Source organism: Homo sapiens, chromosome 8 (assembly GCF_000001405.40).
Source record: "Homo sapiens chromosome 8, GRCh38.p14 Primary Assembly".
NCBI classification, from domain to species: domain Eukaryota; kingdom Metazoa; phylum Chordata; class Mammalia; order Primates; family Hominidae; genus Homo; species Homo sapiens.
The window spans coordinates 8,201,626-8,220,253 of NC_000008.11; the positions used below are offsets into that span (position 1 = coordinate 8,201,626).

An 18,628-nucleotide genomic window follows, 5' to 3' on the forward strand; every position below is an offset into this window, starting at 1 on the left:
ATATCATTCATTATGTTGATGATATTTTGTGTGCTGCAGAAACAAGAGACAAATTAATTGACTGTTACACATTTCTGCAGACAGAGGTTGCAAACGCAGGCCTGACAATAGCATCTGATAAGATTCAGATCTCCACTCCTTTTCATTATTTGGGAATGCAGGTAGAGGAGAGAAAAATTAAACCACAAAAAGTAGAAATAAGAAAAGACACATTAAGAACATTAAATGACTTCAAAAATTGCTAGGAGATATTAATTGGATTCGGCCAACTCTAGGCATCCCTACTTATGCCATGTCAAATTTGTTCTCTATCTTGAGAGGGGATCCAGACTTAAATAGTAAAAGAATATTAACTCCAGAGGCAACTAAAGAAATAGAATTAGTTGAAGAAAAATTTCAGTCAGCAAAAGTAAATAGAATAGATCACTTAGCCCCACTCCAACTTTTAATTTTTGCTACTGCACATTCTCCAACAGGCATTATTGTTCAAAATACAGATCTTGTGGAGTGGTCATTCCTTCCTCACAGTACAGTTAAGACTTTTACATTGTACTTAGATCAAATGGCTACATTAATTGGTCAGGCAAGACTATGAATAGTAAAATTGTGTGGAAATGACCCAGATAAAATCATTGTTTCTTTAAACAAGGAACAGGATAGACAAGTCTTTATCAATTCTGGTGCAGGGCAGATTGGTCTTGCTGATTTTGTGGGAATTATTGATAATCATTACCCAAAAGCAAAAATCTTCCAGTTTTTGAAATTGACTACTTGGATTTTACCTAAAATTACCAGACAAAAACCTCTAGAAAATGCTCTGACGGTGTTTACTGATGGTTCCAGCAACGGAAAAGTGGCTTACACTGGGCCAAAAGAACAAGTCATTGAAACTCAATATCACTCAGCTCAAAGAGCAGAATTGGTTGCTGTCATTTCAGTGTTACAAGATTTTAATCAGCCTATTAACATTGTTTCAGATTTTGCATATTTAGTACAGGCTACAAAAGATGTTGAGACAGCCCTAATCAAATATAGTATGGATGATCAGTTAAATCAGCTGTTTAAATTGTTACAACAAACTGTAAGAAAAAGAAATTTCCCATTTTATATTGCTCATATCCGAGCACATACTAATTTACCAGGGCCTTTAACTAAGGCAAATGAACAAGCTGACTTGCTAGTATCATCTGCCTTCATGGAAGCACAAGAACTTCAGGCCCTCACTCATGTAAATGCAACAGGATTAAAAAACAAATTTGATATCACATGGAAACAAGCAAAAAATGTTGTACAACATTGTGCTCAGTGTCAAGTCTTACACCTGCCCGCTCAAGAGGCAGGAGTTAATCCTAGAGGTTTATGTCCTGATGCATTATGGCAAATGGACGTCACACATGTACCTTCATTTGCAAAATTGTCATTTGTCCATGTGACAGTTGATACTTATTCACATTTCATATGGGCAACCTGCCAGACAGGAGAAAGTACTTCCCATGTTAAAAGACATTTATTATCTTGTTTTGCAGTCATGGGATTTCCAGAAAAAATTGAAACAGGTAATGGGCCAGGATACTGTAGTAAAGCATTTCAAAAATCCTTAAATCAGTGGAAAATTACACATACAACAGGAATCCTTAATTTCCAAGGACAGGCCATAATTGAAAGAACTAATAGAACACTCTAAGCTCAATTGGTTAAACAAAAGAAGGAAAAAGTAAGGAGTACAATACTCCCCAGATGCAACTTAATCTAGCACTCTATACTTTAAATTTTTTAAATATATATAGAAATCAGACCACTACTTCTGCAGAACAACATTTTACTGGTAAAAAGAACAGCCCACATGAGGGAAAACTGATTTGGTGGAAAGACAACAAAAATAAAACATGGGAAATAGGTAAGGTGATAACATGGGGGTGAGGTTTTGCTTGTGTTCCAGCAGCAGAAAATCAGCTTCCTCTTTGGGTACCCACTAGACATTTGAAGTTCTACAATGAACCCATCAGAGGTGCAAGGGAAGGCACCTCCGCAGAGACAGAGAACCCGCAATCGAACATCATCGACTCGCAGGGTGAACGAAATGGTGATATCAGAAGAACAGATGAAGTTGCCATCCACCAAGAAAGTGGGGCCGCCGACCTGGGCCCAGCTAAAGAAGCTGACACAGTTAGCTGAAAAAAGCCTGGAAAACACAAGGGTAACACAAACTCCAGAGAATATGCTACTTGCAGATTTAATGATTGTATCAGCGGTGGTAAGTCTCCCTATGTCTTCAGGAGCCGCTACAGCTAACTATACTTACTGGGCCTATGTGATTTTCCCACCCTTAATTCGAGCAGTCACTTGGATAGATAATCCTATTGAAGTATATGTTAATAACAGTGCATGGGTACCAGGCCCCACAGATGACCGTGGCCCTGCCCAACCTGAAGAAAAAGGAATGATGATAAACATTTCCATTGGGTATCATTATCCTCCTATTTGCCTGGGAAAAGCACCAGGATGCTTAATGCCTACAATCCAAACTTGGTTGATAGAAGTACCTACTGTCAGTGCCACCAGTAAATTTACTTATCATATGATAAGAGGAATGTCGCTCAGGTCACAAATGAATAATTTACAGAATTCTTCCTATCAAAGATCATTAAAATTTAGGCCTAAAGGGAAACCATGCCCCAAGGAAATTCCAAAAGAATCAAAAGACCCAGTAGTCTTAGTTTGGGAAGAATGTGTGGCTGATACTGCAGTGGTACTACAAAACAATAAATTTGAAACTATTATAGACTAGGCCCCTCAAGGCCAATTATATTATGACTGTATGGGCCAGACCCACTCATGTTCACAGGCCCCATGTGTCTGGCCCACTAATCCGGCCTGTGATAGTGATTTAACTAAAAGGCTAGACCAGGTTTATAGAAGGCTAGAATCACCCTATCCATGGAAATGGGGTGAAAAGAGGATTTCATCACCCCGACCAAAGTTAGTTAGTCCTGTTTTTGGTCCTGAACACCCAGAATTATGGAAGCTCACTGTGGCCTCGTACCACATTAGAATTTGGTCTGGAAATCAAGTTATGGGAACAAGAAATCATAAGCCATATTAACTATTAACCTAAATTCCAATCTGAAAATTCCTTTGCAAAGTTGTGTAAAACCCCCTTATATGCTAGTTGTAGAAAACATAGCTATTAAACCAGATTCCCAAACTACAACCAGTGAAAATTGTAGATTGTTTACTTGCATTGATTCAACTTTCGATTGGCAGAATGCTATTCTGTTAGTAAGGGCAAGAGAAGGCGTGTGGATCCCTGTGTCCATGGATCGACCATGGGAGGCTTCTCCATCCGTACATACCTTAAGTATTAAAAGGAGTTCTAATTAGATTTAAAAGATTCATTTTTACTTTGATTGCAGTGATTATGGGTCTTATTGCAGTCACAGCTACTGCTGCGGCTGCTGGAATTGCTTTACACTCCTCTGTTCAAACTGCAGAATATGTGAATAATTGGCAAAAGAATTCCTCAAAATTGAGGAATTCTTAGACTCAAACAGGTCAAAAATTGGCAAATCAAATTAATGATCTTAGACAAACTGTTATTTGGATGGGAGATAGGCTCATGAGCTTAGAATATCTTTTTCAGTTACAGTGTGACTGGAATATGTCAGATTTTTCTATTACACCTCGAGCCTGTAATGAATCTGAACAGCACTGGGACATGGTTAGAAGCCATCTACAAGGAAGAGAAGATAATCTTACCTTAGATATTTCTAAATTGAAAGAACAAATTTTTGAAACATCAAAAGCCCAGTTAAATCTGGTGTCAGAAACGGAGGCAATGGTAAAAGCTGTTGATAGCCTCACAAATCTTAACCCTGTCACTTGGGTTAAAACCATTGGAAATTCCACTATTGCAAATTTTGTATTAATTCTTGTATGTCTGTCCTCTCTATTGTTAGTCTACAGGTGTATCCAGCAGCTCCGGAGAGACAGCGACCAGGGAGAAGGGGCCATGATGACCATGGCGGTTTTGTCAAAAAGAAAAGCGGGAAATGTAGGGAAAAGAGACAGATCAGACTGTCACTGTGTCTATGTAGAAAGGGAAGACATAAGAGACTCCATTTTGAAAAAGACCTGTACTCTAACAATTGCTTTGCTGAGATGTTGTTCATTTGTAGCTTTGCCCCAGCCACTTTGCCCCAGTCACTTTGCCCCAACTTGGAGTTCACAAAAACATGTGTTGTATAAAATCAAGGTTTGAGGGATCTAGGGCTGTGCAGGACGTGCCTTGTTAACCAAATATTTACAAGCAGTATACTTGGTAAAAGTCATTGCCATTCTCTAGTCACAATAAACCACGGGAACAATGCACCGTGGAAAGCCGCAGGGAGCCCTGCCCTTGAAAGCAGGGTGTTGTCCAAGGTTTCTCCCCATGTGATAGTCTGAAATATGGCCTCGTGGGATGAGAAAGACCTGACTGTCCCCCAGCCTGACACCCGTAAAGGGTCTGTGCTGAGGCGGATTAGGAAAAGAGGAAAGCCTCTTGCAGTTGAGATGGAGGAAGACCACTATCTCCTGCTTGCCCCTGGGAACTGAATGTCTCGGTGGAAACCCGATTGTACATTTGTTCAAGTCTGAGCTAGGAGAAAAGCTGCCCTGTGGCGGGAGGCGAGACATGTTGCAGTAACGCTGCCTTGTTATTCTTTACTCCACTGAGATGTTTGGGTGGAGAGAAACATAAATCTGGCCTACGTGCAAGTCCAGTCATAGTACCTTCCCTTGAACTTAATTATGATATAGATTCTTTTGCTCACATGTTTTTTGTTGACCTTCTCCTTATTATCACCCTGCTCTCCTATTACATTCCTGTTTGCTGAAATAATGAAAATCATAATCAATAAAAACTGAGGGAACTCAGAGGCCAGTGCACGTACAAATCCTGGTGTGCTGAGTGCCGGTCCCCTGGACCCACTGTTGTTTCCCTGTACTTTCTCTCTGTGTCTTATTTCTTTTCTCCGTCTCTCATCCCACCCGACTAGAAATACCCACAGGTGTGGAGGGGCAGGCCACCCCTTCAATTTGGTGACACATGGCCTGTGGCCTCAAAGAACACTGACACCCCGGTAACATTCATTCAAACGGGTTCTCCGTACCTCCCCTCCTTTATCCCCAAGGTCTCTGGGTCAGAGATCACTGAGTCATTCACAACATGATGTTTAACACCGAGACGCTCTGGAATTGCTCCTTCAAGACGACTCAGAAGAAGACCCAGTGCTGAGACAATCGTGTTCTCTCTCTCTCTGGATCACCGCCCAGAGACAAGGACTGCCAGAGACTCTGGCTTCCCCAGCTGCTGCCTCCCATTCCTGCGCCTGTGGGATGAGAGATCGAAGCTGTGTGACCTTGACCAAGTTACTTACCCTCTCTAAGCATATGTTTCCCTAAATGTGAAATAGGATGATGGTGATGTGTTTATTTCACAGATTTGATAGAAGGATTAAATGAGAGATGTATCAAAAGCAGTGGGCACAGGGTCAATGCTCAGTGAGCTTTCTCTTTTCTTATCAATAGACAGGTCTCCATGAGGACAGAGACTAGCTTCATCTCAACTGTAGCCTCAGGGCTGGCCACAGTGTCTGCACCCAGCAGGACTTCAGTAAATATCTGTTTATACACTAACCACAGACTTAGGCATAAAAGCCCTTTGGAAGAAAGTTGACCATTTCATGCACCTTCAGACTATGAAGAGCAATGATGACAACTTTAGCTCGAGAGGCTCTCAGTGCTCATTCATACCACTGTGAAAAGGCAGAAACCAGAGCTGTGTGTTTAACTCTCAGCCCCAAAACCTGTTGGCTTTGTTTTATCACTATGAACTTCCAATGCCATCCCTCTAGAATGGGACCTCTCTCTTCTTCCCCAAGGCACCAGCCTGCACCCTAGACCTCTCCTTATTAGCTGGTTCCTCCTGTCTGTACTCTGAGCCCATGCTGTGCTCGTCAGATAGCAACAAGGGAGAATACAGCAGCCCAGAATGCAGGCTGCAGAGTTAGATCCCCAGAACAGGATCTCAGCCGGCTCCATCCTTCCTCAGCTGGGCGACCGTGGCCATTGACTTCCTCTCTGTGCCTCAGTTGCTCCATCTGTGAAATGACGATTGTCATAGTCCCTGCTTCAAAGAGTCACTGGGAGGATTAACTGAGAAAATGCAGGGAAGGTGCTTGGAACTAAATGCTCCAAAAAAGTCCATCTGGCCAGGCACGGTGTCTCACGCCTGTAATCCCAGCACTTCGGGAGACTGAGGCAGGTGGATCACTTAGGTCAGGAATTCAAGACCAGCCTGGTCAACATGGCAAAACCCCGACTCTACTAAAAATACAAAAATTAGCCAGGCATGGTGGCAGGCACCTATAATCTCAACTACTTGGGAGGCTGAGGCATGAGAATCTCTTGAACCTGGGAGGCAGAGGTTGCAGTGAGCCGAGATGGTGCCACTGCACTCCAGCATGGGCAACAAGAGCAAAACTCTGTCTCAAAAAAAAAAAAAAAAGTCCATCATTCTTATTAATGGAGGACAAATCATCTCAGTGCTTCTTTGGCTGATCAGTACCCTCAAAGCTAGTGTTATCCAATAGACCAGAGGTCCCCATCCCCCAGACCACAGACCAGTAGCGGTCTGTGGCCTGTTAGGAACTGGGCTGCACAGAAGGAGGTGAGCAGTGAGCTAATGAGTGAAGCTTCATCTGTATTTACAGCTGCTCCCCATGGCTAGCGTTACCGCCTGAGCTCTGTCTCCTGTCAGATCAGCAGTGGCATTAGATTCTGATAGGAGCACCAACCCTATTGTGATCTGCATGTGGAAGGGATCTAGGTTGTGTGCTCCTTATGAGAATCTAACACCTGATGATCTGTCACTGTCTCCCACCACCCGGAGATGGGATTATCTAGTTGCAGGAAAACAAGCTCAGGGCTCTCACTGATTCTACATTATGGTGAGTGGTATAATGATTTCATTATATATTATAATGTTCATAACAATAGAAATAAAGTACACAATAAATGTAATGCACTTGAATCATCCTGAAACTTCCCCCCAACAAGTACACGGAAACTGGTCCTTGGTGCTAAAAAAAAATTGGGGACCACTGCAATAGACTATTCAGTCATGGTCCAATCAAACATTCTGCAATGGCAGGCTTGCTCTACTCTGCACTGTCCAACATGGGAGCTGCTAGCCGCCCACATGGGCTTTTGAGCCCTTGAAATGTGGCTGGGGAGAATGAAGAACTGAATTTTCAATTTTCTCTTAACTAATTTTTTTTTTTTTTTTTTTTTTTTCAGACAGAGTCTCACTCTATCCTCCAGGCTGGAGTGCAGTGGTGCAATCTCGTCTCACTGCAACCTTCATCTCCCAGGTTCAAGCAATTCTCCTGCCTCAGCCTCCTGAGTAGCCAGGATTACAGGAACCCGCCATCATGCCCGGCTAATTTTTGTATTTTTGTAGAGACGAGATTTCACCATGTTGGCCAGGCTGATCTTGAACGCCTGACCTCAGGTGATCTGCCCAACTTGGCCTCCCAAAATGCTGGCATTACAGGTGTGCCACCATGCCCACCCTTAATTCATTTCTAAATCACAAAATCTAAACAGTAAGTGGACAGGAGCTACCATAGTGTACAAGGCAGCTGTAGAATCACAGGAAATTGTCAATGACCCTGTCCTGCTTCAAGTTGACTTTTCTCCCTCATGGTGAGACTCTAGATTCTTTCCTCTTCTCTCACATTTTTTAGACTTTCAGGCTTAGACCATGAAAATAAGTTCTGTCCTTCCAAGAAAATAACGTTCATAACACTAACTGTATACCAGGCTGATTTCAGTGCTTTACATGTATTAATTTACAACAACTCTGAGGCACGAGCTGTGATTATGCCCATTTAACAGATGACAAAACTGAGGCACAAAGCAGTGCTGGAACTTCTCAAGGACACACAGGTAGCAGGAGGCAGAGCTCGGATTTGAACTCACTTTGGGTTCAGCAACTCACAGCTCTCACCTATGACATAATATTACTTCTGTGGTTAAAACACTTAGACCTGGATTTTACAGGAATCTTGTGCTTGCCTGGCTGCTAGGGAGGTTTTCATCATCTTCCTTATCTCACAGTTCAAAACCCAGGGCCTCCAAGCTCTTGCTACGGTGGCTGTTCACTGGCAGGAGGCTTCTGGGAAGGTTCTCCTTTTCTGTCATTTTTCTTATTCGTGGTTTTTTGTCTCATTGGTGTTTATCCGCAGAACTTTGTTTCCTTCTGCTCAATTCATAATCAGAGTGCTTTTCCTCCTGGCTGAATTCATAAGTGTTTGTGCAAAAAGAGGTTGGCGCAGGGCCAGGCGACTGACGACACCCGGCTCATCTGGCAAGTGGATATCAAATTGTTGTATCTCGTTCTGCCATTCACAGCTCCTGCTGTGGGGCTGGGTCATCTGCCAGCTCTCCAAGGAGCTGGCGGGAAACCGCTGCAATCAGAGCGAACCCAGGGCCCGGGTGAGCCCGCCTCCGCACAGCACTCCAGCTGCCCCCATTGCCTTTTTGGGACACATCTGCTTTGCCAGGCAGGGCTGTGGGAGGGCCGCCTGCCTCCTGTCCATCACAGGGAAAACCCACCCTTGTCCCGCGTCCCTTCCAGGCAGCCTGTGTGTAGCTTGCTGCATTCACCTTTAATATGGCTAAAATGTTTTCCTTCAATGACAGTAATGCTGCCAGAACCCATCAAGACACTCAGGAACTGATGTGCCTTGGCAGATGATGCTGGAAAGATGGGATTCCCGGCAGCCTTTGCATCCCTTGCTCACAGCCCACAAGCATCTCCACTGTCCAGCAGGTCAGGACACGGTCTCTCTCTCTAGCTCTGTGTCTCTCTCTCACGGTCTTTCTCATGGTCTCTGTCTCTCACGATCTCTCTCTCTCATAGTCAGGGCAGAAAGAGTCAGAGTCCATCTGGAGCAGACTCGGATTTTAAATGAGTGTCACCGATAATTTCACATGATCAATGGCTGAGGCATTTCACCAAGTTCAGGAGTCCCAGTTCTCAGAGAGAGGCAGCCAGCCATGACTGTAAGACTTGGGCAAACCGTACAAACCAGACAGCAGGTCTCACCCCTCCCCAGAGAGCTCCAGAGAATATCAAAGAGTGAAACAGCAGAGGGATGGTCTGGGTGGGGTCATCGTGGCTGGCAAGGGTCTGGGACAGCACCTTGTTAGGCTACTCCCAAGAGGAAATTTGGAGAGAGGGTGGGAGGGCGGCTCTCAGTGCAAGCTAAGTCTCCTGGAAAGTAACTTCCAAGCTTTGGAGGATTGTGAGCAAGATGGGACCAACTTCTACCTAAAAGCAACTTCTACCTGAAAGAATGTTAATAGCAAGATAACTCATCCTAATGTTGGTCCAAGCTAGGTCTTTATTATGTATCATAAAGGCTCTGAGAATAACAATGTAACCTCCAAAAGGGCTGCGGGCTTTGAGGAATCTCAGGCAACTCGCTTCCTTCTGCTCAGTGCCTCCCGTGGAGCACAGCAAAGCAAGGAAACACTTAGAGCCAAGCTTGAGTTCTGAATTTCAAATACAGGGAGTCCATCTCTTTCTACCCAATTGTTCCCTAGATGAGTAACTAACTCCTTCCCCATAACTGCACATATTTCCTACCAAAGCACAAGAGCGATGGGCTGTCCATGAGCCTCCCCAAAACATGTGCACCTTGTGACATAAATTCTGTCACCCAAAGAGACCAGACAAAATGCAAAACCAAAGTGGAGCCTTTCCTTGAATTATAGGTTCTAAAGAGTTTTGGACCCTCTACAAAACCCAAGAGTTAGGAATTGCCTGTAAGAAGCACCAGCTCTTGTTTTAAAGAGGCAATTTAAGAATAATAACCATGCTGATGCCACACTACGCTAAGGGAGAAGAATGAACCTAACAAAACAAGCGATTTTCCAATTGCTTTTGCTGCTGGAAACACTGATTATGCTAATTAAAGGGTAGAAGAGTAAATAGCCACTCTTTTGCATCCAATTAAGTGTTCAGATTATTTCTCAGAAGTATTTGTTAAAAATAGCACTTCTGATAATCATGGGTCCCAAATAAACAGAGTCAAGTGCGGTGTGGGACATGTGTGAGTGTGTGTGTGTGCACACGTGTCTTTCTGGAGCTCATTTTATGGAGATCCCGCATAGCTCCCCAAATTCCTGTGAGAACAAATAAGAAAAATCACAGTCTTCTAAGACTACAGCTTGGGATATCTTTGGAAAAGGTGTGTATTGAGAACACAGCATATGGAAACTATTTCACGTTGGCAATATCTGTGATTTAACATTGCAAACATTACAAATGCAACTGGTTCTTCAGAGTCACCTAAGTCCCTCATAATGGCAATATTAGCTTCTTCTAAATAATAAGTTAGCCAGTCAAACTATGTTCTACAGCATGTTAGAAGTTTCATCCTTCTAGTCAATGTCACATTTCAAGGCAAAGTCGATTTATATGTAAGTTAAACGAAGTGCTGTCACTAAAAATTGAGAATTATGTCTAATGCCAATCAGAAATGGAATAAATAAGTATTAGAGGATTTGCAAGTGAAAGCAACCATAGAAATGCTATCATCAGGAAGGAAAATGTATTACCTGCAGAGGTTACAGATAAGACGTTAGAACCCAGAAGAGAAAGAATCTCTGTAAATATTTCCATTAAGTTAATCAAGAGTGGCTGGGTATGGTGGCTCATGCCTGTAATCCCAGGACTTTGGGAGGCCAAAGAGGGCGGATCACGAGGTCAGGAGTTCGAGACCAGCCTGGCCAACATGGTGAAACCCTGTCTCTATTAAAAATAAAAAAATTAGCCGGGCGTTGTGGTATACACCTGTAATCCCAGCTACCCAGGAGGCTGAGGCAGGAGAATTGGTTTAATCCAGAAGGCAGAGGTTTCAGCTAGCTGAGATCACACCATTGCACTCCAGCCTGGGTGACAGATCATGGCTCCATTTTGAAAAAAAAATAAATAAATAAATAAATAAAGTTAATCAGGGTGAGAATAGGATGAGTTTTTCACCCACAAAAAGACATGAGATTCATGCATTCTTTCAACATGCATTCCATCAATAGTGAGCACCTTCTCTGAGCTAGGCCCATTCCAGGTCTCAGGAAATGAGTAACCAACCAGACACGGCCCCTGATTTGGAGCTCACATTTTAGAGCAGCTAAATGGACAGTAAACAAGTAAGCAAATTAAGATCGTCTTAAATTGGGGGAAGTTCTTTAGAGAAGCACTTCCATAAAGCTGAATCGCATCATAGACTATGACTGCCAGGTTGTAGGGAAGGTAATATCTCACCTGCTTGTGGATAGCAGAGCTTCTGAGGCCTTGCAAAGTATTTGGTACTAAGATTTCTGTCTTAGGTCAAGTTCCCTAAAAGCAGAGACTGAGGCAGGGATTGAGTGCATGTAATTCATTCAGGAAGAAGTCTCAGGAGATAGGAGTAAGGAAAACAGGATATGGCAGGGAAGGAGCTAAGTGAGATGTGGTCTCAGCTGGAGACTGGCTCCAGTCTGATCTCACAGGGAGCTCCAGAGGATGAACTGCACCACCATGTTATCCCAGCCTCAGGTCTTTTGTTCCCCTGTGTCAGCCGGTCCTTGGCCAAGGGCTGCAGACTCTCTTGGGGCCCCAGCAGACCGGAGGAGAAGGAGCATGGTCTGTGGTCTACTCTTTTGTGCACATCCACCCACCACTTCCCCAGCTGACACTGCTGGAGGAGGAGAGGGAGAGATGTCATCTCCTTCTATGGCAACCTGTGGGGTGGCAATGGCCCTTTTCCTGTTGGGTGTAATCTGCTGCCATCTCCTGCTGTCTGCAGCCTGACACAGAAGGGTGAAGGTCACCAGGTTCCACTGACCGGGGTCTTTGTCTCAAGCAGCAACCATGGGACCACGGGTCCCTTGCAAGATTCAGCCACATTTCATGACTGTCTGCAACACACCCCATGCCTCTGATGGAAGGAACCCAATGCCCCATGCTGCACTCATTTCTGCCAGACTAGGGTCCCTGATCTCAATTTCCCTCTGCAGTCCCCAACTCTGGGGTCTGCAGACAGATTTCAGATCCGTCCTTATACCTCCCAGGAGGCAGAAGCCAGAGGAAATAATCCTTGTCCCAATGCACCTGACCATGCCACCTCACTGCATGCTCTTTCTCCCTCTCCAGGAAAAATCAAGCTGGTTGAATACTAACCAATATGCCCACATGCATTTAGTCCCCATAACCACTTCTTGGGGCAGCATTACCATCCCCAAGTTACAGACGAGGAAACTGAGGAGAGCATTTATATAACATGCATCTAAGTGGTGGACAAAGGATCTAACCAGGCAGTGTGGCACCAGAGCACACATTTTTGTTGTTCAGAGAGATGGGGTCTCTCTCTGTCCCTCAAATTGGAGTGCAGTGGCCTGATCACAGCTCAGTGCAGGCTTGAACTCCCAAGCTCCAGCAATCTTCCCGCCTCAGCCTCCCGAGTAGCTGGGACTAGAGGCATTCACCACCAACCCAGCTAATTTTTAAAAAACATTTTTCTAGAGATAGGGTCTGATTCCAAACTCCTGACTTCAAGCGATCCTCCTGCCTCAGCCTCCCAAAGTGCTGATATTACAGTTGTGAGCCCCCGCGTCCAGCCCAGAGCAGATTTTTTTTTTTTTTTTTTTTTTGAGATGGAGTCTCACTCTGTCACCCAGGCTGAAGTGCAGTGGCAAAATCTCGGCCCAGAGCACACTTTTAACCACCATATCATTCTGCCTCTGGGTAGGTTAGTCAAGCTCTGTAGCTGATCAGATGTCTGTAGAGAGAAAGAGACATCAATCTCCCCTTCTTCCAAACACCCCCAAATTTTACAAGTGATTTTCTCAGATCCCTCAGCATCAGGAATGGGGATGTGCAGGGCAGCCTGTCCCCTTCCCAACAGCCCAGCAGATATCCCAAGATTACATCTCATTGGCTCTGACTAGGACATGAGCCCAAAGCTGAACCAGTAGCTGTAGCCATGGCATGCAGCATCCTCGGTCCTCTGGCCAGGCCAGAGCTACATCCTACCTCTGGGTCCCCGGGTTGAGCCAATAATCTCGAACCAGGCGCGGACTGAAGCTCAAGGGGGAGTCATAGTAATGTGACCCAGCCCACCAGGAAGTGGGTGCTGAGCAGGCAAGCATTCATCACCCACTGCACACACCAGGGAAGGCTTGTGGTGGCTTAGTCCCACCTGGGGGCAAAGAAAAGAGTGCCTGCTCCATGCCAAAATGTGATGCCTAACACCGTATCTTAAAGCTAGCTGGCTTTGTAATCCCTGCTACTTGGAAGGCTGAGGCAGGAGAACCACTTGAATCCAGGAGGCGGAGGTTGCAGTGAGCCAAGATCACGCCATTGCACTCCAGCATGGGTGACGAGAGAAATTCTGTCTCCAAAAAAAAAATAATAATAATAAAAAAATAAAAAGCTAGCCTGCTTAATCCTCACAAAGATGCCATCTACTTTTTGGCATTCTACAGGTTGAGACACTGGGACATCTTAAAACTCACCACCAGCCGGGCATGGTGTCTCATGCCTGTAACCCCAGCACTTTGAGAGGCTGAGGCAGGAGAATTACTTGAACCCAGGAGTTCAGGACCAGCCTGGGCAAATTAGTGAGACCTCATCTCTACAAATATTAAAAAAAAAAAAAATTAGGGCAAGGCGCCGTGGCTCACACATGTAATCCCAGCACTTTGGGAGGCCAAGGCAAGTGGATCACTTCAGCCCAGGGATTCGAAACCAGCCTGACCAACACGACAAAACTCTATCTCAACTAAAAATACAAAACTTAGCTGGGCATAGTGGTACATGTCTATAATCCCAACTACTTAGGAGGCTGAGGCACGAGGATTGCTTGAACCCAGGAGTCAGAGTTTGCAGTGAGCTGAGATTGTGCCACTGCACTCCAACCTAAGTGACAGAGTGACACCGTGTCTCAAAAAAAAAAAAAAAACAAAAAAAAAACAGGTGTGGTGGTACATGCCTGTGCCCCAGCTGCTCAAGAAGCTGAGGTAGCAGGATCACTTAAGCCCAGAAGTTCAAGGGTGCAATGAGCTATGATAGTACCCCTGCACCACTATGTAAACATATTTATGTATATATGTATGTTTATATATACACATGTATATTATATATGTATATATATGCATATGTATACATGTACATGTGTATATGTGTGTGTATATATATATATATAAAACACACATGCACAAATTCACCACCAACAACTCAGAAATTACCGTCTCCTTCTATTCTAAGGAACTATTTTTCATTTTGCCATCTCTGAAGTTGGAATACACCTTACAATCACTAGAATGTCACAGTCTCGTTGGCAGCATTTTTCTGCTTAGTAGCCCATAAAATAATAGCACATCTTGTAACTAACAGTGTTGTAGATGCTATGAGATCCTGGGGAAGCCCAGAATCTAACTCCATCCTGTCTGACTCCAAAGACCACATATTTCCTATGCCTTTGGACTGGGGCACAGATGTAGACAACTTGAGCTTTGCTGATTGTGAGAAAGGTATGAGAAATGGCCCCGATGGAATTTTCTTCTTGTAGTTGAAGGGGAACAAAGTGGCATCATTCCACTATTCCAAGGGAGGTGTTAAATACGAGGGTGAGGCTGTCAAGCGGTCCCTGGTGGAGTCCTACACTCACCCAAAGAGCAGCGAGACAGAGCGGAGGGAGAACATCGATACCGTCATGAACTGGTTCACCAAGGAAGACTTTGACTTTGTGGCTCTGTGCTACAGAGAGCCAGATAACGTGGGACACCGATTCGGGCCAGAGGCAGAGAACAGGAAGTTGATGATTCAGCAAATCGACAGCGCCATCGGGTATCTGGTGGGAGCCACTGAGAAGCACAGCCTACAGAGCACCTCAGCGTCATCATCACATGAGACCGTGGGATGACCACCGTGAAGAAGAGACCCAATGTCAACAAGATCCCTTGTCCAACTACATCAAGTTCAGGGACTTAGTCAAGTTTGATATCGTGGGCTACGGTGGCTTTGGGATGCCCCTGCCCAAATTGGGGCAAGAGGAAGCCCTTTACCAGGCACTGAAGAATGCGTACCCTCACCTCCACATCTACAAGAAGGAGGAGTTTCCAGAACACTTCCATATGGCTAAACATGACCGGGTTCTGCCAATCGTGATGTATGCCAACTCTGGTTACAGTATCAAAGGGGTAAGTTCATTCTAAAATGAATAAAGTCACCTTGGATCTAGGAGACAACCATTAGGGAAGGGTGGTTCTGCAAAAATCAAACATAAGCGCACAGCCGGGCACGGTGGCTCACGCGTATAATCCCAGCACTTTGGGAGGCTGAGGCAGGTGTATCACCTGAGGTCAGGAGTTTGAAACCAGCCTGGCCAACATGGTGAAACCCCATCTCTACTAAAAATACAAAAATTAGCTGGGCGTGGTGGTGCACATCTGTAGTTCCAGCTACTCTGGAGGCTGAGGCAGGAGAATCGCTTGAAGCTGGGAGGCAGAGGTTGCAGTGAACCAAGATCATGCTACTGCACTCCAGTCTGGGCAACAGAGTGAGACCCTGTCTCAAAAAAATATAATATAATATAATATAATATAATATAATGTAATGTAATGTAATGTAATATAATATAATATAATATAATATGATATAATATAACAAAACAAAATAAAATAAGTGCACACACTACGAGTTGTAGCCCACAGGGTCCTAAATGTTTCCCACCCTCCGCCCAACCAATGCTGCCCCAAATTACTGTTATACAAGATTAATGACCAATTCAACTTGATAAGGCTGATTAAAAATAAAAATAAGGCTGGCCATGGTTGTTCACACTTGTAATCTCAGTGTTTTTGGAGGCTAAGACAGGAGGATTGCTTAAGGCCAGGAGTTCAAGACCAGCCCGGGCAACACAGGGAGACCCCATCTCTACAAAAAACAAACAAATAAATAAATAGCCAGACATGGCGATGCATGCCTGTAGTCCCAGCTACTCAGGAGGCTGAGGTGGCAGGATTTCTTGAGCCCAGGAGGTCAAGGCTGCACTAAGCTGTGGTTGCACTACTACACTCCAGCTTGAGCAACAGAGCAAGACCCCGTCTCTAAAAAATAAATAAACAAATAATAAAAAATAAACACCAACTTCATTATTCAAAATCGTGCATAGAGCTTCACTAAACATTGAATAGCAGTTCTTTCATTTTTTTCTTCCCAACAACCCTATAAAATAGATGCTCTTATTTCCACCACTTTAAAGAAGAAATCAAAACCTAGAGAGAAGTGACTTGAGATTAAAAATGTAAGGTTGGGCTGGGTGCAGTGGCTCACACCTGTAATCCCAGCACTTTAGAAGGCTAAGGTAGGTAGATTGCTTGAGCCCACGAGTTTGAGACCAGCCTAGGCAACACAGTGAAACACCATCTCTACAAAAAATGCAAAAAATGTGTCTGAGTGTAGTGGCACGTGCCTGTGGTCCCAGCAACTCAGGAGGCTGAGGTGGGAGAACTGCTTGATCCCGGGGGTGTTGAGTCTGCAGTGAGCCATGATCATGCCACTGTGAGATAGGAGGCAGGACTTGACTCCACAGGCAGGGCTTAGACACCAGACCAAATTAAGGACTACCTAAAACAGGGCTGGGGCAGAAGAAGCTTTCCATCAGACATGCCCACCAGTGTGCCATGTGAGTTTACTATTGCCAAGGTAACACCCGGGAGTTACTGCCCCTTTCCATGGCAATGACCCAATGACTCAAAAGTTACTACCCATTTTCTAGAAATTCCTGCATAAACTGCCCTTTAATCTGCATGCAATTAAAAGTGGGTATAAATGTGATTGCAAACTCTCTGCCGCTACTCTCTGCCTCCAGGGTAACCCTGCCCTACAGGAGCAGTCACAGGGCTGTAATGCTGCCTCTTCAATAAAACTGTTTTCTTCTATACCTCCGGCTTGCCCTTGAATTCTTTCCTGGGTAAAGGCAAGAACCCTCACGTGCTACTGAGAGGTGACAGCACGGTGTCAGCCCTCGAGCTCACTCTCGGCCCCTCCTCTGCCTGGGCTCCCACGTTGGTGGCACTTGTGGAGCCCTTCAGTGCACCGCTGCACTGTGGGAGCCCCTTCCTGGGCTGGCCGAGGCTGGAGCCTGCTCCCTCAGCTTGCGGGGAGGTGTAGAGGGAGAGGCGCGGGCAGGAACTGGGGCTGGGCGTGGCGCTTGCGGGCCAGCGTGAGTTCCGGGTGGGCATGGGCTCACTGGGCCCGGCACTCAGACTGGCCTGCCAGCCCCGCTGGACCCAGGCAGTGAGGGGCTTAGCACCTGGGCCAGCAGCTGCTTTGCTCAATTTCTCACTGGGCCTTAGCTGCTTCCCTGCAGGGCAGGGCTCGGGACATGCAGCCCGCCATGCCTGAGCCTCCACCCAACCCTCCATGGGCTCCTTCGCGGCCTGAGCCTCCCTGATGAGTGCCGAGCCTCCCCAATGGGCACCACCCCCTGCTCCAGGGCGCCCAGTTCCATCGACCACCCAAGGGCTGAGGAATGCCAGCACAGGGTGCGGGACTGGCAGGCAGCTCCACCTGCGACCCCCGTGTGGGACCCACTTGGTGAAGCCAGCTGGGTTCCTGAGTCTGGTGGGGACTTTGAGAACCTTTATGTCTAGCTAAGGGATTGTAAATACACCAATCGACACTCTGTATCTAGCTCAAGGTTTGTAAACACACCAATCAGCACTCTGTGTCTAGCTCAGGGTTTGTGAATGCACCAATTGACACTCTGTGTCTAGCTAATCTAGTAGGGACTTGGAGAACTTTTGTGTCTAGCTCAAGGATTGTAAATGCACCAATCAGCACCCTGTCAAAACAGACCATTCAGCTCTCTGTAAAACAGACCAATCGGCTCTCTGTAAAATGGAACAATCAGCAGGATGTGGGTGGGGCCAGATAAGGGAATAAAAGCAGGCTGCCCCAGCCAGCAGTGGCAACACACTGGGGTCCCTTTCCACATTGTGGAAGCTTTGTTCTTTTGCTCTTTGCAATAAATCTTTCTGCTGCTTACTCTTTGGGTCCACATTGCCTTTATGAGCGGTAACACTCACTTCGAAGGTCTGCAGCTTCACTCCTGAAGCCAGCGAGACTATGAACCCACCGGGAGGAACAAACAACTCCAGACGCGCCGCCTTAAGAGCTTTAACACTCACCTTGAAGGTCTGCAGCTTCACTCCTGAAGCCAGCGAGACCACAAACACACCAGAAGGAAGAAACTCTGTACACATCCGAGAATCAGAAGGAACAAACTCCAGACACGCCGCCTTTAAGAACTGTGACACTCACCCCGAGGGTCCGTGGCTTCATTCTTGAAGTCAGGGAGACCAAGAACCCACCAGTTCCGGACACACTATGCTCCACTTCGGGGCTCCCCTGCCCTGCGTCAACTGCACTCTGGCCTGGGTGGCAGAGAGAGAGACTCTATCTTAAAAAAAAGAAAGAAATGCAAGGTTAAGTGCTGCCCCCAAGCCTGAGTGGCTGATCATTATACAGAGT

At 45.5% G+C, this 18,628-nt stretch overlaps 1 long non-coding RNA gene and 1 pseudogene across 1 annotated transcript in view; one reads left to right on the forward strand and one right to left on the reverse strand.

Annotated features, from left to right (window-relative positions):
* Positions 1–15,291, forward strand: part of ENPP7P1 (ectonucleotide pyrophosphatase/phosphodiesterase 7 pseudogene 1) — a 62,552-nt pseudogene extending 47,261 nt beyond the window's left edge.
* Positions 1–18,628, reverse strand: part of FAM85B (family with sequence similarity 85 member B) — a 126,742-nt gene that overhangs the window by 100,864 nt on the left and 7,250 nt on the right. Inside the window, exon 2 of the long non-coding RNA NR_147089.1 lies at positions 18,419–18,557. This is a non-coding gene — a long non-coding RNA (family with sequence similarity 85 member B). The remainder of the gene's footprint in view (positions 1–18,418; positions 18,558–18,628) is intronic.